Below are 23,170 nucleotides of genomic sequence, written 5' to 3'. Positions count from 1 at the left end.
GGCAGTAATCTGCTAGGGCCAAAAGGAGGCTGCTCCTTAGGCAAGGCATCCATTCTCAGTTTGCCAGGGTCCATCTGGCCTTCTTTACTCATTTATTTGATCTGCTCAGCCCTGTAGGCATTTCGATTTGTAGCCCCTCTAGACAGCTGGAAACTGTCTATGCCTGGCACAGAGCGGGCAATTAATCAGTGAATCCCCCATTATTTCTTTACATCATTTTTTTTTATTTGGACAAAGAAAAAAATCCAAGTTTGTTTTCATCTATGGTAGCTATTGGATAACAGATTTTTCACTTTGAGAAGCGAAATGAACAAGTCCTTTCTGTCAGTCAGGATAGACTAGGTTAGGCTGTGGTAACACTCTCCAAATCTCAGTGGCTTACAACAACAAAGGTTTATTTCTTGCTTACTCACACAAACCTAGACACAAAATGAAAACACTCTCCTGTTTTCACATGCATGGAGACAGACATGAATGCATAGGCATTTACAGAATCATGGAATCCTGGGATGTAAACTCATGCAAACACGTTTATAGATACTGGTCAGCTTAAATAGCACAACTCTCTCTTTATTGGGGATTTCAAGAGATCCCAGGACCCAAGAAGGGTACAAGAATATCCACTGTCAGCCAAGGAAATGCCCACACTACCAAAGGAACTGAAAGCTAATGAAGCACCTGAAAGCTTAAACAAACAAACAAACAAACAAACAAAAAAGCCCGAAGCTTGTACTACATTAAATTCCATGCATAAATCCTTAAGTAAGACACTAAATATACAGTGCCAGCAGGCTGTCACCTCCCTGCCATAGCAAGACAGCCTCCATCTCTGGGTTTCTAGCTCAGGAGGGAGATGGACCCCAGACGGCCAATATGCAGAGCAACAGAGGGGGCTGGGCTGGGTCGAAGACAGGGGCCAACAGGCTGGAATCCTCTTCCTCCAGCAGGAGCTACAGGCAAGAAGGAAGGGGCAGGATCAGGTCACACCTGTTTTTCCTTCTAGCAACCCCCTCTTTTTACCGAATCCAATCCAGGCCTCATCATTGTTCTCCTGGATTATTTCACAGACCTCCTTGCTAATTTTCCCACCTCCAGTCTTGCCTCCTCCAAACCGTCCATCAAAGCCACCCACTTGTCTTTCTAAAGCTCAGGGTCTCTGAATTTGTCCTTGCTTAGTTCAGAAACGTTCCCTGGCTCCCCTTCACATACAGTTGCTGTTCTAGACACCTAAGCCTGGCATGCCAGATCTCCACCATCAGAAGCCTCTCCAGCCTCCTTTCCCTCTGTTCTAGCATTTCCTCCAGGCCAGTCTGCCCAATCCACTATTTGGACAAGAGAATTCGCAGCTTTCCCTGTCTGTCCCCCTAGGTGTTTCTCACTCTTCAAGGTTCCTCCAATCTTCTTCAGGTTTGTCACTGAGCCTTGTGAAGGCATCCAATTTCCCTAACTAGAACGTAAGCTCCTTGAAGGCACTTATCAGACCTCCTCCCAGGCCAGACCCCACTTCAGACTTCAGCAGGCAGCCTGGGTCCAGAGACAGAGCATTGGGTTCCCTGCCACTGTCTCACTATATGCCCTTGGGCAAGTCCCTGCCTTTCTCAGTGCCCCACTTTCCTTGATATCAAGAAATTTGCTGTCGAGTGCCAAACTGATAAAAAGGATTCACTGAATAACTCTCAACTGCAATCCCAGGGGCCAGGCTGAGGAGCTTGGGGTCCTGGGCCTGAAGACGTTCAACCTGTCGACCCCCTCATCTCCTTGGTTAGTCCCTGTGTACTTCAGTGATCTCCATTTCCCAGCCATCCCTATCCATCCTCTCCTTTCATGGCCCACCTGGTGGGCCACAGGGGTGAAGCAGGGAGATCCAGGCAGGGTTGGGGGGCACAGAAGGGGTCACACGAGGAGCCTGGGATGAATCTTTCAGCCCCACGAGGGCTTCAGCTGCCTCTTGCTGCAGCTGCCACTCTGAGGGGCCAGATGTCCGGGCCAGGCACGAGGCTCCAGAGGCCTGCAAGGGAAAGGGAGACAAGCAGACTGGGAACCCCCGCTTCTGCCCACCCTCTAAGTGTTCCTCAGCCCCTGCTTCCTTCAGTTTCCTGCTTTTTCCTTCCCCAGGCTCAACCTCCTCCCAGGGCCCTAGATCCCACTTCTTTCCCAGGACCTGTGGCTGTAGCTGAAGAGGGTCTGGGGTGCCACAGGGCTGGAGTATCAGAGTTGAGTGTCTAGAAACAAGGAGAGAAGATGCCAGGGTGGTTAAACAGATGAACAGACATGCACACATTGAAAGAGGGGCAGGATTTTGCCATGTTTTGATCTGGGAATCTGAGAGCCTGCTGGGCCATTAAGCTGTGTCTTGACTTATTTTGTTTTCAGTAAAGTAAAAATCCTTGCCAGTTTTTCCTCCCAGGGCTACTGTGAGGATTATGGGAAATCACTAGTGTCTTTTTTTTTTTTGAGACAGGCTCTTGCTCTGTCACCTAGGCTGGAGTGCAGTGGCGGTGTGATCATGGCTCACCATAAGCTTGAACTCCTGGGCCTACACCATCTTCCCACCTCAGCCTCCTAAGTAGCCAGGAAAACAGGTGTGCACCACCATTCCTGGCTGTTTTAATTTTTTTGTAGAGACGAAGTCTCGCTCAGTTACTCAGGTGGTCTCAAACTCTTGGCCTCAAGTAATCCTCCCACCTCAGCCTCCCAAAGTGTTGGGATTACAGGTGTGAGCCACCAGGCCCCACCTGATGCCGGTTTTTAAAAAAACACCTAGAAGACTGAGATTACTGTCCCTGACCTATCAGAGTCTGGGTCCCATTCCCCCAGTTCCCCAGTCACCATAGAACTTGAAGGAGAGCTTGGCTCACCTTTGGGAAGCTTTTCCTAATGGCCTCTGGCCCCTCTCCTGGGTCTCTGAGGCTCTCATCATCTCTGCCCCCCATATCAGCAGGCAATCTTACCCCATCAAATCTGTCTAAGCAGATATAACAGCTACCATTAAAGAGTCTGTGCTAGGTCTATTCCATACATTATTGCTAATTCTTACAACAATCAGAGAGGTAAGTAATAGTGTCTCCAATTTACTGATAGAAAAACAGGCTCAGAGAGGTAAAGATAATTGTCCAAAGCATCACAGCTAGGAAATGGCAGTACTAGGAGAGCTCTGCCTTGCCTATTAGTCAGAGACCTTTTCATCTTCATTATCCACTGTGGTTGGACACCAGCACTGTGGTTGGACACAGCACAGGCTTAGGCTTATGATACACATCCTTCTCTCCCTACTCACGTGCGGGGCTGGCTAGGGGGCCCTTGGGGCTCTCCAGAAAGAGGAGCTGTCAGTACTGGGTGAGATCCTGGGCAGGTGGTGAAGGGCCCATGAGTGGGCAGCTGGAGGGAGGTGCCAGGGTCAAAGCCTAATAAGAATAAAAGAATGCAGAGTGTATAGGGGCCAAGGTCATAGTTTCTTTCCTCCCTCTCCCCACCTATGCTTTCTTCCTCTTCCCTCTCCAATATGTGGCAGATTGGCACTCAAATATATGTTGAATGAATGTTGAATTATCATCTTACCAGGGAAGGGAGGCAGAGAGACAGCAGGTTCTTGGTACAGCAGGCGGCACACCACTGGTGGTGGCATGGAGAAGCCTGGAGGCAGCCAGTGTCCAGGGACCCAAGGGCCAGGAGGCACCGGAGTCCAGGACAAGGGCGAGGCTTCCGGGGGATGGCTGAGCAGCAGAGGCCCACAGGAGTTCTGCAGGGGCAGAGGGCACAGGCTGGAGTTGGGTACAAGGCTGGAAAAGGATTGAGTGTATTCTGGGATACGGGCAGAACCCCAAAACTTTGGGGCTGGGAGGCCCTCGTTTTCCCCTCATTTTGCCTAGAGAAGAGCAGTGATTTGACTAGATTACATAGCAAACCAGGGCTGGGGCTAGAACCCAGGTGTTGAGGGCACAGAAGAAAGGGTCTGGGTAGGAACTAGGGTGGGGGACACTTTCTCAGGCCCCAGCCTCTCCTTACCTTCCCGGGGGGTGTCGGTGCCAGCAGGACTGCCCCATGGGGGGTCTGAGGCTGGGGTGCTATGTTCTCCTTTCCAGCTGTGAAGGACCAGGGAGAGCTCTAATGAGCCCTTTCTCCTGACCCCTATCCTACCCCAACCCCAGACAGTTCTCATCTCCCCCATCTAGCTCATTTTTTTTTTTTGAGATGGAGTCTTGCTGTGTCGCCCAGGCTGGAGTGCAGTGGCGTGATCTTGGCTCACTACAACCTCCGCCTCCTGGGTTCAAGTGATTCTCCTGCCTCAGCTTCCCGAGTAGCTGGGACTACAGGCATGCGCCACCAAGCCCAGCTAATTTTTGTATTTTTAGTAGAGACGGGGTTTCACCATGTTGGCCAGGATGGTCTCGATCTCTTGACCTCGTGGTCTGCCTGCCTCAGCCTCCCAAAGTGCTCGGATTACAGGCGTGAGCCACTGTGCCCGGCCTCTAGCCCATTTTTGACCCACAGAACTCGCTGCATTCTCTCAACGCTGGGACAGCTGAGGCCGAGGGAGTAGAAACCCTTAGTTCAAGGTCGTACACCAATTCAGCAGCAGGACTGGGCCTCTTTTTCCCATACCTGCCTCCTGTACCCAAACTCCTGCCCCATCGCTGGTCAGAGACACTCACAGGGGACCTGTGGCTGAGTGGTTCCCTTTCTGAAGTGGTTGGGAGCTTTGGGAGAGGCTTCCCCTCTCCTCATCAGGTGCTTCTTTAGCTGCGCCTCCTGCTGCCTACGCAAGGCCACCTGGGCAGCCATGACCCTGCGGCGCTCCCTAAAAGTGGGGAGTTGCAAGTCAAAGGTCAGCCACCCTTTGGAGGAGGCTCATCCTCCTCCCCTCCCAGACCTCATACTCACAGGATGAGGACACATTTGTGACACTCGCAAGCCTGGAAGAGGCAGAGGCGCTTGTGGCCCTTGAGATGGGCGGTGACACCATGGTTGCGGCAGCGGGCGCAGGTTGGAGAGCGGCTGATGGCTCTCCTGGGGATCAGCTCTGTGCTCTGGGGGTCTCTGGTCTCATCCCAGGGGGCAGAGTCTAAGGGGCAGTGGTAGCCAGCAGGCATGTCACTGGGTTCCATGGATCTAGGGGCAGGAGTGGAAGGTAAGCATAGCCAGGTGGGCCTGCCCCTAACAACCCTCCTGCCCTGGAGACCACACCTGCAGGTCTCCATCCTGCCCCTCTTTAGACCCCGCCCTGATTCTGGCTTCTTTCCCAGCTTTCTCCCCTCTTTACCCCATGACATTTCTCAGGTATCTTCCTTCTTCAGAAACCCCTCTCCTCTTCCTCTTCTGTGTTCTTTCTTTTTTTTTTTTTTTTTTTTTGAGATGGAGTCTCACTCTGTCTCCCAGGCTGGAGTGCAGTGGCACGATCTTGGCTTGCTGCAACCTCCACCTCCCGGGTTCAAGCGATTCTCCTGCCTCAGCCTCCTGAGTAGCTGGGATTACAGGCAAGAGCCACCATGCCCGGCTATTTTTTTTTATTTTTGTATGTTTAGTAGAGATGGTGTTTCACCATGTTGGCCAGGCTGGTCTCGAACTCCTGGCCTCAAGTGATCTGCCTGTCTCGGCCTCCCAAAGTGCTGGAATTACAGCCATGAGCCACTGCACCCGTCCCCCCTTTTTTTAATTTAAAAATTTTTAGGCCGGGTGCGGTGGCTCAAGCCTATAATCCCAGCACTTTGGGAGGCCAAGGCGGGTGGATCACAAGGTCAGGAGATCGAGACCATCCTGGCTAACACAGTGAAACCCTGTCTCTACTAAAAATACAAAAAATTAGCTGGGCGTGGTGGCGGGTGCCTGTAGTCCCAGCTACTCCAGAGGCTGAGGCAGGAGAATGGCGTGAACCCGGGAGGCAGAGCTGGCAGTGAGCCATGATCGCGCCACTGCACTTTAGCCTGGGTGACGGAGCAAGACTCTGTCTCAAAAAAAAAATTTTTTTTTAATTGTTTTTTATTTTTATAGAGACAAGGTCTCATTATGTTTCCCAGGCTGGTCTGGTCTCGAACTCCTGGGCTCAAGCGATCCTCCTGCCTTGGCCTCCCACAGTGCTAGGATCAGAGGCATGAGCTGCTGCGCCCGACATTCTGTATTCTTTCAATTCAAACATTCTTTTCTTTCAATCCAAACACTTTCCCACCCACACACACATCCTAGGTTCCAACCTACTCATGTCCTCACATACCCCTTCAGCGAGTCCTACATCCCCTTTTCACAAGCACCCTGTTCCGTCCCAACAGTGTTTCCTGGCATCCTCTTCAACAATGCTCACCCCACTCTCATGCATTCATCCAATGCCTACCAGTAGTTTTATGCCCCTTTCAATTCTTAGTTCAATTTCAATTCTTAGTCTCATCTATGCCCTGCAAAGCAACTGCCTCCTTGCATTCCTTTAGTCTTATTTTGTTCTTGTACCCCTTTAAATCAGAACCCTCTCTTGCACCCCCAATAATTACCTTATTCTCATGGATTCCCTGCTCCACTTTCTTTTTTTTTTTATTGACAGGGTCTCGCTCTGTTGCCCAGGCTGGAGCGCAGTGGCGTGATCATGGCTCACTGCAGCCTCCACCTCCTGAGCTCAAGCAATCCTCCTGCCGCAGCCTCCCCAGTAGCTGGGACTACAGGCTGGAGCCACTATGCTTGGCTCCCCTGTCCCACTTTCTTTCTTTCTTTTTTTTTGTTTTGAGATGGAGTCTCACTCTGTAGCCCAGGCTGTAGTGCAGTAGTGCAATCCCGGCTCACTGCAACCTCCGCCTCCTGGGTTCAAGCAATTCTCCTGCCTCAGCCTCCCGAGTACCTGGGATTACAGGCCTGTGCCACCACGCCCGTCTAATTTTTGTATTTTTAGTAGAGATGGGGTTTCACCATGTTGGCCAGGCTGGTCTTGAACTCCTGACCTGCCTCAAGCGACCTGCCTGCTTCGGCCTCCCAAAGTGTTGGGATTACAGGCATGAGCCACCGCACCCGCCACCTGCCCCACTTTCAAGTTATTTTCCTTCACTCCTTCATTCATTCCACAAATGGTTACTGAGCCCCTGTCATGTGCTAGGCCCTGATCTGGGCCAAAAACCTTCTCCTTGGGGCACTAATGTCTCTCTTGCGCTCACACCTTATTCAGGTTTTTGTGTAAACATGTGAAGTCACTGTGTCCAGCGCTTCCTGCTCCTGTGGCCACTACCAACAATTAATTTCATGCATGTCCCCCTCCCCCCTTCCCGTGCCCCAGGGAGCGAGTGGGGAACCGGGAACGCGCCAAGGGGCCCGCGAGGCAGGGAAGGGGAGAGGGGGCGCGAGGGCGGGAGGGGCGCGAGGGGGAGGAGAGGGGATGCCTGGGTTAGGGAGTCCGGCTAAGAGGGAGGAGGACGGAAAGGCAGGAGGGACCGTGTTCGTGCAGCTAGTTCACGGTTACCACAGCCTCCAATGGAGTCAGATTCAGTCAAGAAGACGCCCAAAGACACTGTGAGAAAGTGGCCAGAGGAACCGCCAAGCTCGCGCTGCTTTTCTTACCCTGTCTCACAAAGACCAATGAACTTCAAGCATCGCCTCTCTCAGCCGAGGCAGACGACCAATGCGGTTTGAGATCCTGAACTGATGTCCCGCCCCTTCCCTTCTGCCAGCTTCTTGGCGCACAAGACTATCAGTCCCACCAATAGCGCTTCGAGTTGAGCCTCGCGCCACCGCTGCCTCTCCCTCCGCACGTCCTGCCCGCCCAGACTGTCTTCCCCCTTTCGAGGCAGGTGGCCAATGGGGCGTCGAGTACCCCTTATTGGACCGAGGCTGGCCCCGCCCCCCAGGAACGGCCCGCCTGGCCCCGCCCCTGGGGCGTTGACCAAGCCCGGTCTGTGCACGGGTTGCCTCGTTTCTGGCCTTCCCTTGCCTTGTACCTCGACTTCGCGCGTGGCTTGTTTTTGCTGAGTGGAGGCCTGCGTTTTCTGTTATGTCTCTTCCGGTGCCCCACAACTCCTGAGCTACCCTTCTTTTATGCGTTCTCTCCCAGCGCTGTGATTACCGGGTTGCTTACCGGGCCCTCCTTCCTCAGATTGCACCCCTTTCCTTGTGTCTCTTCTTGTCTTTGTGTCGGTTGTGATTTTCCTAATCTCTGATTTTCCTTTTCTCTCGGACGCTCTCCCTCTTCGGACCCATTTTCTCCCGTGCTTCATGCCCTGATAGCCTGGCCCCTTCCCGGCTTCCTTCGCTACCGGGGACGCCTCTAGTTTTTCTGAATTTCTGGCTGGCTCCACCCTCCGCGTTCATCTTCCTCAAGAGTTCGCCCCTCTGGGGGCTCCTCTGTGTAATCGTCGCCTTCTCTGGGTATTTCTGTGAACTCCGTCTCACACCATCCCGCCATCTTCTCTGCCTTGGCCCCTTTTCTCTGTACAGCCAGCTCTGTGTCCTTTTCTTCTCCCCCTCTAAAATCGACTCCTCTTCTCCCTGAGAGCCCCACCTTTGTGCCCCACTCCTCATTTTCCTACGCCTCCCTCTCTCTGCTGGTCCTCTCTCTCCCTGCAAGGTTCCATTCCATCAATTTGTTTGTCTTTTGTAGGGGTGGCATCCCCTCTGACTACTGCTCCATCCTTTTTTTTTTTTTTTTTTTTTTTTTTTTTGCTTGAGGATTTCACTTCAATCTTTTCTGGTTGCGTCTCCACTTGTACTCAGCTTGTTAGGTCCAGGTCCAGTTGTTCTGCATCTGAGGCTGGCGTGTGCTGTCTTCTCTGATTGGCCTAATCTCCCTCACCCCCGTGAGATCTGTTGTCAGCCTTCGTTTCTCTTTCCTGTGTCCCAGCTTTTCTGCGGGTCTTGGCACCTTTCTTGGCCACAGATTTCTGGGTTACAGAGCATGTGTGTCTGAGGCATTGCAGGCAGAAAAGGGTGGCCGACGTGACCTCTAGCTGGACTGCTGGGCAGGGGAGCTGTCCTAGATAAAATTGGAAAGGTTGGGTGGCGCTTATCTGGGGTGGGGTGGGGTGTGGTCGGGGGAGGCTTAAAGGCCAGCTAAAGAGGTTGAACTTGATCCTTTAGGTAGTGGAGAGAGAGTGAGAGGAAGTGTGTGTGGGAGGGAGGGATAGTGGTAGAGGAACAGGGTAACCAACGATTATAAAGAGCTTAGCATTTGCCTAATACTTATGGTAATAATTTTATTGATCTTCACAATGACCCTATGAGATGTATTATACTTCATTTTATAAAGAAGGTAGTAGGCTCTGAGTTCAACAAATTGGACAGCTAGTAAATGAAGGGGTAAAGATTCCAACCTGGGTCTCTGAGGCCAAGGTCAGTGATCTTTGTACCCCCTCCTACACTGTTATTTTCCACCAATTCCCCACTTTCATTCCCTAACCTTCTTATAGGCAATTCTCATTCTAAGGTGGTTAATATGTATCTTTTGGTTTGTGTGTGTGTTCTCCCAGGATGTGTGTAGTGTTGTTGTTGGGGTTTTTTTTTTTTTTTTTTTTTTTTTTTTTTTTTTTTTTTTTTTTTAGCGATGGGGTTTTGCCATATTAACCAGGCTGGTCCAGAACTCCTGGCCTGAAGTGATCTGTCTGCCTTGGCCTCCCAAAGTGCTGGGATCACAGGCATGAACGACCACACCCGACCTCTGTTTGAGTTTTTAATTTATGCAAGTGATATTATGTTATATACTATTTGTAATAATCAGCACTGTGATTTTACAATCTATCCATGTACACATTCTGTCATTCTGTCATGATGTGTACTTTTTTTTTTTTTTTTTTTTTTTTTTTTTTTTGTTTAGACGGAGTTTCACTCTTATTGCCCAGGCTGGAGTGCAATGGTGTGATCTTGGCTTACTGCACCCTCCACCTCCTGGGTTCAAGCAATTCTTCTGCTGCCACAGCCTCTTGAGTAGCTGGGATTACAGGCTCCCACCACCACACTCGACTAATTTTTGTATTTTTAGTAGAGTCAGGATTTTGCCATGTTGACCAGCTTGGTCTTGAACTCCTGACCTCAGGTGATCCGCCCACCTCAGCCTCCCGAAGTGCTGGGATTACAGGCGTGAGCCACTGTACCCTGCCTCACATCCTGTGTACATCTAATCAACTTCTTCCAACTCCTGCGTGATATTCCATAGCGTACATCCCCAGCATGTTTTGCATTCACTTGGTCTCAGAGAGGGAAGCTCCCATTGTCTCAACCTACCATCACCACAATAATGCTGCATTCTCTGGGCATGGGAGCTCATGCCTGTAATCCCAGCACTTTGGGAGGCCGAGGTGGGTGGATTGCTTGAGCCCAGGAGTTTGATAACAGCTGGGGCAACATGGAAAAACTCCATCTCTACAAAGCTGGGTGTGTTGGCGCACACCTGTAGTCCCAGCTATTTGGGTGGCCGAGGTGAGAGGATTGCATGAGCCTGGCAGGTGGGGGCTGCAGTGAGCACAGCTGTCCTCCAGCCTGGGCAACAGAGCGAGACCCAGTCTCAGAAAAAAAAAATGCTGCATTATTGTGCATGTTCCTTTGTAGATGAAGGTGGACATTTTTGTAATACCTATGTAGGGTATACTGGAAATGGGTATTTATAAACCCAATTTGACCATGTAGTGTCAGACCCCTGCAATGCTGCTTTGGGCCTGAGATCCTGGTCAGAACTCTCAACTCCTTTGTTTCTCAGAGTCCAGAAATAGTGTTTTATTCCCCAGCCCTCCAAATAATGCCATGAGCATCAGGGGCCAAGGGTTCCTTTATCCCCACATACCTGCCAACACTTGTCTTTTCCCAGCTTTCTGATCCTTACCAGTCTGATAGATGTACAATTTGACAGATTGCATTTCCTTGGTTATTGCTGGGTTTGTGCATTTCTTCACTTTTTTTTTTTTTTTTTTTTTGAGACAGGGTCTTGTTCTATTGCCCAGGCTGGAGTGCAGTGGCATGATCTCGGCTCACTGCAACCTCTGGCTTCCGGGTTCAAGTGATCCTCCCTCCTCAGCCTCCCTAGTAGCTGGGACTGCAGGCACGTACCACCACACCGGGCTAATTTTTGTATTTGTAGTAGAGACAGTGTTTCACCTTGTTGGCCAGGCTGGTCGCGAACTCCTGACCTTGTGATTTGAGGCTAAAGCAATCCTTCAACATTAGCCTCCTGAGTAGCTGGGACTACAGGCACTCCCATGCTTGGCTAATTTTTAAACTTTTTTTTTTTTTTGGTATAGACAAGGTGTTGCCCAGGCTGGTCTCAAATTGCTGACCTCGAGCAGTCCTGGCTCAGCCTCCCAAAGCACTGGAATTACCGGCATAAGCCACTGTGTTGCCCAGGCTGGTCTTGAACTCCTGACCTCAAGGGATCCTCCTGGCTCAGCCTCCCAAAGCACTGGGATTAGAGGCATGAGCCACTGTGCCGGCCTGCATCTTCTCCCTTGATCAGATTTGCCAGCGAACTAACTAAATCTTTTCATAGAATGGATCTTTTTTGTAATAATGTTTGTTGTTGTTTACTATTTCATTGATTTCTGCTATCATCCTTATTTCCATTCTTTTTTGGGTAGGAGAGAATTGCTTTGTTGCTCCTTATACAATTTCTTGAACTAGTTCATGAATATATTTATTTTTTAATGCTTCACATTTCCTGATACATGTATTTAAAAGTATAAATTTACTTCTAAATACTGCTTTAGCTGTGTCTCAAATTTTGATGTATATATTTTATTTTATTTTTTTTTTTTTTGAGACGGAGTTTCGCTCTGTCGTCCAGGCTGGAGTGCAGCGTCGCAATCTTGGCTCACTGCAAGCTCCGCCTCCCGGGTTCACACCATTCTCCTGCCTCAGCCTCCCAAGTAGTTGGGACTACAGGCGTCCACGACCATGCCTGGCTAATTTTTTTGTGTTTTTAGAGATGGGGTTTCACCGTGTTAGCCAGGATGGTCTTGATCTCCTGACCTCGTGATCTGCCTGCCTCGGCCTCCCAAAGTGCTGGGATTACAGGCGGGAGATACTGTGCCCGGCTGTATATATTTTAAAAACCCTTTAATTTTGAAATGATTGTTGGCTCACAGGAAGTTGCAAAAGTGGTACATAGAGTCCCTTGGATCCTTCCTCCAGTTTCCCTGTAGGGGCATCTTATATAACCATAGTATATGAGCAGGAAATTGACATTTGTACAATACTGTTTGTACAGTCATAGCTCACTGCAACCTCCATCCCCGGGGCTCAAGTGGTCCTCCCACCTCAGCCTCCCAAGTAGCTGGGACCACAGGTGCATGCCACCATGCCTGGCCAATTTTTGTATTTTTTGTAGAGATGGCATTTTGTCGTGATGCCTGGGCTGGTGTACAGTACTCTTACCTAGACTTCAGACCTTATTCAGTTTACAGCAGATTTTACATGCACTTATGTGTGTGTGTGTGTGTGTATGTGTGTGTCTGTCTGTGTCTATGTCTGTGTGTGAATGTGTGTGTTATGTAATATGTTTATTATTATTCAGTTCTAAATACTTTTTTTTTTTTTGAAATGGAGTCTCTGTCTCTGTTGCCCAGCCTGGAGTGCAGTGGCGCGATCTCGGTTCACTGCAACCTCCGCCTCCTGGGTTCAAGCGATTCTCATGCTTCAGCCTCCTGAGTAGCTGGGACTATAGGCTCGTGCCACCACCCCTGGCTAATTTATATTTTTTAGTAGAGATGGGGTTTTACCATTTTGGCAGGCTGGTCTTGGACTCCTGACCTCTGGTGATCCACCTGCCTTAGCCTCCCAAAGTGATGGGATTACAGGCGTGAGCCACTGCTCCTGACCTCAGTTCTAAATACTTTTAAATTTCCATGTTGAACCAAGGGTTATTTAGTGATATGTTAACTTACACACACACACACACACACACACAACACACACGAGTTTGAAACATCTATTTGTTTCTCTGATCTCATTGCCTCTGGCTGGAGAACAGCCTGCATATCAGTAAGCCAGGATTCTCTGCTCAGCACCTTGTCCAATGGGAGGACCTAAGTGGGAGAGTGAGAGTCCTGCTTTGAGAAGCTAAGATGGTGGATGGTGCAGGTTAGACTGGAGGGCAGACAGTGGAGATGGGAAGACCTGTGACCCAGAAGGTCTGAGGGAGCCTATGTCCTAGAAGCTGATGCAATCAACTTTCTGCTCCAGAAACAGTGACCCAGAGACAGGTGGACAAAGAATTCGGGGACTGATGGGAACTGAGCTTGGGATCCAGACTGAAACTGATTCCAGACTGACCTCTAGCACCCAGGACCCAGACACAGGGCCATGGGACCCCAGCATTTGAGACTTGTGCAGCTGTTCTGCCTTCTAGGGGCCATCTCCACTCTGCCTCGTATGTCCTGTGGGGCTGGATGCTATAAGACCCAGAAAGGTGGGAGGCTGGATTCATGTCACTGGTGGAACGAGGGCTGGGTATCTAGGTTTCGCTGGGGACAGGACCTGTGGGGGCTGAACTCTTGGTTGGCAGTTAACGGGCTCAGAAGATGATATGAGGGGCCAATGACTGGGAGAGCATTCTCTTTTTAGGGGCTGGAGCTCTTTTGTGCTATGAAGCAACAGCCTCAAGATTCAGAGCTGTTGCTTTCCATAACTGGAAGTGGCTTCTGATGAGGAACATGGTGTGTAAGCTGCAAGAGGGCTGCGAGGAGACGCTAGTGTTCATTGAGACAGGTGAAGCAGTCTAAGTTTGATCAATTTCGTTTTGCTTGCTCTTCTGACCCCCAGCTCCACTCCCAGCACCGAGGGACTGTAGATTAGAATTCCACATAGTTACTATACATATATATATATATGTATATATATTTTTTTTAATTTTTTTTGAGATGGGGAGTTCTTACTATGTTGCCCAGGCTGGTCTCAAACTCCTGAGCTCAAGCGATCTGCCCACCTTGGCCTCCCAAAGTGTCCGGATTACAGGCATAAGCCACTGTGCCTGGCCATCATTTATATCTGGATAATGTCAGGACACTGGCAGGAGAGGGGCAGGGCCCCACTGGTTGTGTTGTGGGCTGGGTAAGTGGGTAGAATGGAGGTGGACAGATCCCTGGAGGAGGGCACAAGGGAGAGAGGAGTGGGGGCTGGGGGAGGTCCTGCAGTGGAAGAATGAGGAGATCCAGATGGAGACCCCAGCATCTGAGCCCTGTGCAGCTGCACTGAGTGGACACAGGGGTTGGGGAGGGAGGCACAGATTGTGACAGGCAGGGTGGGTGCAGAAAGAGCTGGGGGGAGGGAGGACTCTGGGTGAGGCCAGTGACACTGATCTGAGCTCTCTCAATCCTCTGCTCCTCAGGGACTGCAAGGGGAGTCGTGGGCTTTAAAGGCTGCAGCTCGTCTTCGTCTTACCCTGCGCAAATCTCCTACCTTGTTTCCCCACCCGGAGTGTCCATTGCCTCCTACAGTCGCGTCTGCCGGTCTTATCTCTGCAACAACCTCACCAATTTGGAGCCTTTTGTGAAACTCAAGGCCAGCACTCCTAAGTCTATCACATCTGCGTCCTGTAGCTGCCCGACCTGTGTGGGCGAGCACATGAAGGATTGCCTCCCAAATTTTGTCACCACTAATTCTTGCCCCTTGGCTGCTTCTACGTGTTACAGTTCCACCTTAAAATTTCAGGCAGGTGAGAGGAGAGGAATATTGTTTATCAAATGCCTACTCTCTGCCAGGCATTGTCCAGCACCTTCACATCTCAGAGAGGCTGGTGGGATCCAGAGATGGGATTGGGGTTGCAAGGGACAGGGCACATGAATTCCAAGGAGGAAGGGGAAGGCGCCTGGTGCCTAAGTCTCTCATGGGAGAGCAGGTGTTCTGGTTTGTGAGGGGCCTCTGGGGAGAAGGCAGGGGCCTTTTTTTTTTTTTTGAAATGGGAGTCTTGCTCTGTTGCCCAGGCTGGAGTGCAGTGGTCCGATCTCGGCTCACTGCAACCTCTGCCTCCCAGGTTCAAGTGATTCTCATACCCTAGCCTCCTAAGTAGCTGGGATTATAGGCATGTGCCACCATACCTGGCTAATTTTTGTATTTTTAAGGGAGATGGGTTTTTGCCATGTTGGCCAGGCTAGTCTCAAACTCCTGGCCTTAAGTCCTCAAGTGATCCACCTGCCTCGGCCTCCCAAAGTGCTGGGATTACAGGTGTGAGCCACTGCACCTGGCTGAAGGCAGGGCTCTTGAGTCTTGAAAGTGTTCCTGACTTCTCCCTCTCTTCCTTACAGGGTTTCTCAATACCACCTTCCTCCTCATGGGGTGTGCTCGTGAACATAACCAGCTTTTAGCAGATTTTCATCATATTGGGAGCATCAAAGTGACTGAGGTCCTCAACATCTTAGAGAAGTCTCAGATTGTTGGTGCAGCATCCTCCAGGCAAGATCCTGCTTGGGGTGTCGTCTTAGGCCTCCTGTTTGCCTTCAGGGACTGACCATCTAGCTGCACCCGACAAGCACCCAGACTCTTTCACATAACAAATAAAATAGCAGAGTTCCCTTTCTGCATTGTCCTGTGGTCCATGAGAGAGCAGGGGTGAGGAAGGTGTGAGGAAGGCCAAGCATGTCCAGGGAGGTGGGGACCCAGGAAGAGGAGCCTGGCAAAGTGACAGTGTCCTGCCCAGCAACTGGGGGAGCTGAAATATTCCTTTTCTCCTTCCCCTTCCTCTGGAGGCTTGAGCTCCAGCCTGGGTTCAGCTACTAATCAGGGTCTGATTTCCGAGACCCTGGCCAAATCTCTCCCTTTTTATGGGCCTCAGTTTCCTCCTCTTTAAAAGGAAGGGTCTTATGAGTTAGAGAAGAGCCTCCTCAGGCCAATTCTTTTTTTTTTTTTTCCTTTTTTTGACATGGGGGTCTGTCTCACTATGTTGCCCGGTCTGGTCTCGAATCTTTGGCCTCAAGTGATCCTCCTGCCTCAGCTTCCCCAGTAGCTGGGATTTTACATGGGAGCGACTGTGTTTGACCACCAGGGTGATTATTATCTGGGATTACTTACTGAGTATCTACTATGTGTGCCAGACACTGTGCTAGTATCTGTGCTAGTGTTTTACATACAGGATATCATTTAATCCTCACAAGACCTCAGTGAGGCAGCTTTTGTCTCTATTTTGCAAAGAAGAAACTAGCTCTAGGAGGTGAAACCTGCTCAAAGTAGCATCTCCCTTACCTCCCCTGCAGATTTCTGTCCCTGCTGAGGCAATTTCATTGAGAGATTTGGAGACTTGAGATTATTTTATCTGCTCAGTAGTTGTTTTTTTTTTTTTTTTTTTTTTTTTTTTTTTTTTTTTTTTGGTAAGTTGGCAAATAGGGGAGAGAGGAAAGAGCAGGGCTGGGGTGGTTGTTTTTCACCCGGAGTTTTGGTTCTGGGTTCCTAGGAAAGGAGAACAGTGTGATTCTTTTCTCTGGCCATAAGGGGGCAGCAGATACACTCACCCTGCAACTTCATGCCTTTTTAAGTTGAGTGAATGAGTGTGTGTGTGTGTGTGTGAGACAGAGTTTGTGTGTTTAGGGGTGGGAAGTAGGGAATGGAGAGTCGCTGTGTCAGGCCATTTATGTGTGGGAGCTCAGTTTAATTCTCTCCCACTATCTTGTGAGGTTTAGAGGCAGTGACGTAGGGTACCTTTACTGTGGGTTAGGCATTTTCTGTGCATTACCTCGTTCATCCTTACTACAACCTTATTAAATAGATGTCATCACTTCTGTATTTGCATTTTACAGGCGAGGACACAGGCTTAACTCCTCAAGGCCACGGAGCTGACCTTTGTTAGTAGCTTGAGCAAGTGGGGTCTGAAGCACACGTGCCTGCACCTGGCCTCAGAAGTGGGACTGACACGAGGTTTCGGTTACCATGGACCTCTGTGACCTCCATGACCAATCTAGGTTCTGGAAGGGGTGGTTGGGAAGCCAGAATAGTCACAGCAAGTGGAACAGGGCTAGGTGGAGACCAGCGAGCCTACGACAAGAGGCTTTAGGTCATAGAGGGAGGTTTTAGTAGATGAGTTTTATCAGTGGGCTTCGCCCACCTCTTCCTAACATCTGACCAGCTGGGCTATTAGTTTTAGAAGGCTGAGCTGAGGCCTGGGTGGGCCAAGACATACTTCCACAGATTGTCTTCATCCCACTAGCCAAGGTGGTTGAGGACATCAATGACCTTCAAAGGGAATTAACAAGTCAAAGGAAATGGTGTCCTAGGTGTCACAAATGGATGGCTTAATCCTGATACCAGGGACAGGACATATTTGCTACATACAAAGGATTATATGTAACAAAAATATTGGATGTGGAGTGTGATTTAACAAACCCCATGGACTCATCACTTAGCCCAAGAAATGGAGCATCAGGAGTAACTTGCTTTTTACCTGTGTTCTTTTCCCCATCCACTCCTTTGCCTCCTCCCATGAGGAAGCAATATTTTATTTAGTTTGGCTTGGATTGGATTTTTATATACTTTGTCATGTATGTATTATACCTTTAAACAATAAATATTGTTTAGATTTGCCTGGTTTTGAGCTCTGTAAAAATGGTATCATATGTAGTTTTCTGGAACTTGCTTTTTATATTATTATTGTTATTTTTAGAGACAGGGTCTTGCTGTATCACCCAGGCTGGAACTTAGTGACAGGATCATGGCTCACTGCAGCCTTGACCTCCCAGGCTCAAGTGATCCTCTCGTTTCAGCCTCCCGAGTAGCTGGGACTACATGCATGTGCCACAACACTCCACTAATTTTTTAAATTTTTAGTAGAGACAAGGTCTTGCTATGTTGCCCAGGCTTGGAACTTGCTTTTAAACAACTCGTCATTATGTTTCTAACATTCACCCACGTTCCCGTGTGGGACTTTGTTCTTCCATTTTCACTGTTGTATGACATCCTACTGTGCTATTGTACAGTAGGATCTGTACAATTGATCTATTCTCTGTCAATTATGTGTGGATTTCTTCCCCAGTTTTTGGATACTCTGGCTACTGCCGCTATGAATATTCTTATGCATGTCCTCTTGTACATGTCTTGTACATATGTGTAAGAGTTTCTCATAGGTATACACCCAGGAGTACAATTGCTGGCTGTAGGGTTTGTTCAGCTTTGGGAGTAAATGCTAAATTGTTTTCCAAAATGGTTGTAGCAGTTATACATTACTGGTGAGAGGGTAAAGAATTTTTGTTGAAATACATGCCCTTCAACTGTTCACACTTAAAAATTTTTGCCACTCTGTTGGGTATGAAATGATATCTCATTAGGGTCTGAATTTGTATTTTCCTGGTTACTAAGTAGGTTGAGCTTCTTTTCATATGTGCATTGACTGTGCTGCTTTTGTAAAATGACCATTTTGGTGGGGGCTGTATTGTTCTATAGGGTTAACTTTTTCTTCTTGATATGTAAGCTTTCTTTTATATTTTATATATTATATACTAACCCTTTGTTAGATTATTTGTCTTCATTCCTTATGGTTTTTTTTTTTTTTTTTTTTTGAGACAGAGTTTCGCTCTTGTTGCCCAGGCTGGAGTGCAATGGTGCGGTCTCGGCTCACTGCAACCTGCGCCTCCCGGGTTCATGTGATTCTCCTACCTCAGCCTCCCGAGTAGTTGGGATTACAGGCATGCGCCACCACACCCAGCAATTTTGTATTTTTAGTAGACACAGGGTTTCTCCATGTTGGTCAGGCTGGTCTCAAACTCCCGACCTCAGGTGATCCGCCCACCTCGGCCTCCCAAAGTGCTGGGATTACAGGCATGAGCCACCGCGCCTGGCCTCTCAATTTTTTAAGGTCGTTAATATTTTTCAATAAAGTTAAAAAGTTTTCTGTATTAGGATTTGGTACATCTTTTGTTATATTTAGTCTAAAATAATCTGTAGTATTTATTGTTATTATAAATGGTGTCTCTTAAAAGTTATATTTTCTGTTTGTTTCTAACGTATAGACGCGAAATTGATTTTTTTTTTTTAGACAGAGTCTCACTCTGTCACCTAGGCTGGAGTGCAGTGGTGTGATCTCGGCTTACTGCAACCTCTGCTTACCGGGTTCAAACGATTCTTGTGCCTCAGCCTTCCGAGTAGCTGGGACTACAGGCACGAGCCACCATGTCTGGCTAATTTTTTGTATTTTAGTAGAGATGGGGTTTCACCATGTTGGCCAGGCTGGTCTCAAACTCCTGAGCTCAGGTAATCCACCCACTTCGGCTTCCCAGAATGCTAGAATTACAGGCGTGAGCCACCATGCCTGGTCGCAATTGATTTTTGTATAGTATATTGATCTTAAAGCCAGGCTTCTTTCTAGACTCTTTTATAACTTCTAATAATTTGTTTGTAGGCTTTTTTTGGGGTTTTCTGGGCAGATAATAATAACCTGTTAATAACAACAGCTGGCCCGGGGTGGTGGCTTACACCTGTAAAAAAATAAAAATTAACTCAGTGTGGTGGCGTGTGCCTGTACTTCCAGCTATTTGGGAGGCTGAGGTGAGAGAATCACATGAGCCTAGGAGTTCAAGGCTACAGTGAGCTATGATCATGCCAGTGCATTCCAGCATGGGTGACAGAGCAAGGCCCTGTTTCTAAAAATAATAATAAAAAAAATACTGGCCAGGCGCGGTGGCTCACGCCTGTAATCCCAGCACTTTGGGAGGCCAAGGCGGGTGGATCACAAGGTCAGGAGATTGAGACCATCCTGGCTAACACGGTGAAACCCCATCTCTACTAAAAATACAAAAAAATTAGCTGGGCGTGGTGGCGGACGCCTGTAGTCCCAGCTACTCCAGAGCCTGAGGCAGGAGAATGGCGTGAACCCGGGAGGTGGAGCTTACAATGAGCAGAGATCGCGCCACTGCACTTTAGCCTGGGCAACGGAGCGAGCCTCCATCTCAAAAAAAAAAAAAAAAATACTGACAGCTGATCTGTGTTGGCTAGGCCATCCCAGTACAATATTGACAATGCTGGGCATCCTTGGATTATTCTTTTTTAAAAAATATATTTTGTACAGCTGGTATCTTGTTATGTTGCCCAGGCTGGTCTTGAACTCTTGTCCTCAAGTGATTCTCCTGCCTTGGCCTCCCAAAGTACTGAGATTACAGGTGCCTGCCCTGCCCCTTGGATTCTTCTTTTTTTTTTTTTTTTGAGACAATCTCTCTGTTGCCCAGGCTGGAGTGCAATGGTGTGATCTCAGCTCGCTGCAACCTCTGCCTTCTGGGTTCAAGCAATTCCCATGCCCCAGCCTCCTGAGTACCTGGGACTACAGGCACCTGCCACCACACCTGGCTAATTTCTGTTTATTTGTTTATTTTTTTTTTTATTTGAGATGGAGTCTCACTCAGTCACCCAGGCTGGAGCACAGTGGCACATTCTTGGCTCACTGCAGCCTCTGCCTTCTGGGTTCTAGCAATTCTTGTGTCTCAGCCTCCCGAGTAGCTGGGATTACAGGTGTGTGCCACTATGCCTGGCTGATTTTTGTGTTTTTAGTAGAGATGGGGTTTCACCATGTTGGCCAGGCCGATCTTGAACTCCTGACCTCAAGTGATCCGCCCACCTTGGCCTCCCAAAGTGCTGGGATTACAGGCGTGAGCCATCACACCCAGCCTTAACTTTTGTATTTTTAGTAGAGATGAGGTTTCGCCATGTTGGCCAGGCATGTCTTGAACTTCTGACCTTAAGTGATCTGCTCACCTCAGCCTCCCAAAGTGTTGGGATTACAGGCATGAACCATTGTGCTTGGCCCTCTTGGATTATCCTTGATTTTCAGTGGAATGCTCCTATTTTCCTATTAACAATGATTTTTTTTTGGTTGCTGTTTTTTTTGCTTTCTTTTTTGGGGGTTGGGGGGATAGATGTGCTTTAGCAGAGTAAGGAAGTTCTCTTCTATCCTAGTGTAATATTTTTAAGAAATGGATGGCAAATGTTATTAGTTTTTTTTGGATTTTTTTTTATAGAGACAGGGTCTTGCTATGTTGCCCAGGCTGGTTTCAAACTTTTGGCCTCAAGCAATCTTGCTGCCTCAGCCTCCCCAAATACTGGAATTACAGGCATTAGCCCCCACACCCAGCTCAGGAAATATTATTACATGATTTTTCTGCATCTATTGAGATAGTCATGAGTTTTCCCTTTATTCTCTTAATATGGCAAGTAATATATACTTTAAAATACTTAAAAAATTGATACATTACTTATATATAGAAAAGTGCATAGATTATAAATGTATTATTTGATGCCTTTTCAAAAATTGAACACACCCATGTAAATAGTAGCTAGATAAGGAAACAAAACCTTCCTAGCACCCTAGAAGCTCCCTCATGCCCCCTTCCACTTATATATTTCTTTTTTTTAAAAAAGACATTTATTCAGCATCACGATCAGACTATTACATTTAGCGATCAACAGCATCGATGCAAAAAAAAATCTACATTAAAACTCTTTGTTGGAATGCTTTACATTTTCCACAGAACAGAGACTAAAATAACCTGTTATACAATTAGTTGCAAATACAGTCCTCGAGTTTTTTGCCCATACACGTGAGTATTTGTCTAAAACATGTCTTCTTTTTAGCAGCTAGGCCCTGCCACCACTGTGCGTGGCTGAGTTCACAAATCTGTTGTAACCTGTAGCTTCCCTGTCACTTCTCTGGCTCTCCTCTCCTGCTAAGCTTTGTTTTCTAATTAAAATCTTCTGCCACTGCCATAGCTACTGCTGCTACTGGAACCGCCATAGCCACCTTGGTTTCGTGGTTTGGCAAATATTGGCCTCCACCACTATAGGGGCCAGAGCTTCTGCCTCCAAAGTTTCCTCTCTTCATGGGTCCAAAATTTGAAGACTGATTGTTGTAATTGCCAAAATCATTGTAGCTTCCACTACGTCCAAAGTTGCTTCCATCATTACCAAATCCATTATAGCCATCCCCACTGCCACCATATCCACCAACAACATGGCTGCCACCAAAGCCACCATGACCACTGAAGTTTCCTCCATGACCAAAGTTGTCATTCCCACCAAAACCACCTCCATGACCACCACCAAAATTTCCAGAACTGCTTTGATCTCTTTGGCTGGATGAAGCACTAGGTATCTCTTGCTTTGATAGGGCTTCCCTAATTTCACAGTTGTGGCCATTCACAGTATGGTATTTCTGAATGATAATCTTACCCACGGAGTCACGGTCATCAAAGGTTAGAAAGGCAAAGCCCCTTTTCTTGCCACTGCCTCGGTCAGTCATGATTTCAGTCACTTCAATTTTTCCATACTGTTCAAAATAATCTCTTAGGTGATGTTCTTCAGTGTCTTCTTTTTTTTTTTTTTTTTTAGACAGAGTCTCAGTCTGTCGTCCAGGCTGGAGTGCAATGGCGCAACCTTGGCTCACCACAACCTCCGGCTCCTGGGATCAAGTGATTTTCCTGCCTCAGCCTCCCGAGTAATTGGGATTACAGGCATGCACCACCATGCCCAGCTAATTTTGTATTTTTAGTAGAGACGGGGTTTCTCAAGTTGGTCAGGCTGGTCTTGAACTCCCGACCTCAGGTGATCTGCCCTCCTCGGCCTCCCAAAGTGCTGGGATTATAGGCATGAGTCACCACACCTGGCCTTCAGTGTCTTCTTTAATGCCACCAACAAATATCTTTTTCACAGTTAACTGGGCACCTGGTCTTTGAGAATCTTCTCTTGAGACAGCTCTCTTTGGTTCCACAACTCTTCTATCCACCTTGTGCGGCCTAGCATTCATGGCGCATCTGCCTCCTTCACAGTGGCATATGTGACAAGCCCAAAGCTCCTGGAGCGCTTGGTGTTTGGATCTCTCATTACCACACAGTCCGTGAGCATTCTCCATTGCTCAAAATGGCTTCTCAGGCTCTTATCAGTTGTTTCAAAGCTCAATCCTCCAATGAAGAGCTTCCTCAGCTGTTCAGGCTCTTCGGGACACTCTGACTTAGACATGACGGCAGGGAGAACTGAGACTCTAACGATGCTTCTTTGGCGGCGTCCATGGGCAGAAAAGCCCACTTATAGATTTATAATGTTAAATCACCTTTTTGCTTTTCCTGGAACAAACAAAACCTAGTCATAGTGTTTCATTTTTAAATATGCTGTTGATTTGATTTCCTAATGCCTTGTTTAGGTTTTTATGCATCTCTGTTCATGAATGTGATTGGCCTGATAATTTCCTCTTTTGTACTCTTTTTTTGGTTCTGGTTTCAATATCAAGTTTATACTAACCTAATAGAATGAGTTGGGGAAATAC

At 48.1% G+C, this 23,170-nt stretch overlaps 2 protein-coding genes and 1 pseudogene across 23 annotated transcripts; 1 reads left to right on the top strand and 2 right to left on the bottom strand.

Moving 5' to 3' along the window:
• Positions 1 to 200: 200 nt before the first annotated feature.
• On the bottom strand, positions 201 to 7,618 carry DMRTC2 (DMRT like family C2). 9 transcript variants are annotated; one of them, XM_017027127.3, is made up of 9 exons: positions 7,433 to 7,492; positions 7,133 to 7,188; positions 4,882 to 5,109; positions 4,653 to 4,798; positions 4,006 to 4,082; positions 3,559 to 3,739; positions 3,278 to 3,404; positions 1,834 to 2,222; positions 201 to 950 (listed from the first exon to the last, which is right to left on the bottom strand). In XM_017027127.3, the coding sequence occupies exons 3-9, from the start codon at positions 5,103 to 5,105 to the stop codon at positions 838 to 840; spliced, it is 1,257 nt and encodes a 418-aa protein (XP_016882616.1). In that variant the 5' UTR covers positions 5,106 to 5,109; positions 7,133 to 7,188; positions 7,433 to 7,492; the 3' UTR covers positions 201 to 837. The 9 variants fall into 9 exon arrangements, with proteins under 9 accessions (XP_016882616.1, NP_001035373.1, XP_016882618.1 ...); NM_001040283.3 differs by lacking the exon at positions 7,133 to 7,188 and having other exon boundaries at positions 1,834 to 2,008; positions 2,162 to 2,222; XM_017027129.2 differs by lacking the exons at positions 7,133 to 7,188; positions 7,433 to 7,492 and adding an exon at positions 6,480 to 6,570 and having other exon boundaries at positions 1,834 to 2,008; positions 2,162 to 2,222.
• Positions 7,619 to 7,662: 44 nt separating this feature from the next.
• LYPD4 (LY6/PLAUR domain containing 4) lies at positions 7,663 to 17,459 on the top strand. Of its 14 annotated transcripts, none has more exons than XM_024451375.2 (6): positions 7,663 to 7,756; positions 13,129 to 13,315; positions 13,510 to 13,653; positions 14,273 to 14,599; positions 15,189 to 15,336; positions 16,674 to 17,459. In XM_024451375.2, the coding sequence occupies exons 2-6, from the start codon at positions 13,249 to 13,251 to the stop codon at positions 16,711 to 16,713; spliced, it is 726 nt and encodes a 241-aa protein (XP_024307143.1). In that variant the 5' UTR covers positions 7,663 to 7,756; positions 13,129 to 13,248; the 3' UTR covers positions 16,714 to 17,459. The 14 variants fall into 14 exon arrangements, with proteins under 14 accessions (XP_024307143.1, XP_024307146.1, XP_024307141.1 ...); XM_005278385.6 differs by lacking the exon at positions 7,663 to 7,756 and adding an exon at positions 7,851 to 8,956 and having other exon boundaries at positions 13,129 to 13,354; XM_024451378.2 differs by lacking the exon at positions 16,674 to 17,459 and having other exon boundaries at positions 14,273 to 14,595; positions 15,189 to 15,460.
• A 3,940-nt stretch (positions 17,460 to 21,399) lies between these two features.
• HNRNPA1P52 (heterogeneous nuclear ribonucleoprotein A1 pseudogene 52) lies at positions 21,400 to 22,925 on the bottom strand (annotated as a pseudogene).

This window comes from Homo sapiens, chromosome 19 (assembly GCF_000001405.40).
Source record: "Homo sapiens chromosome 19, GRCh38.p14 Primary Assembly".
Classification (NCBI taxonomy): domain Eukaryota; kingdom Metazoa; phylum Chordata; class Mammalia; order Primates; family Hominidae; genus Homo; species Homo sapiens.
Note: the sequence above shows the minus strand (reverse complement) of the source record. Positions and strands in the feature narration are given on the sequence as shown.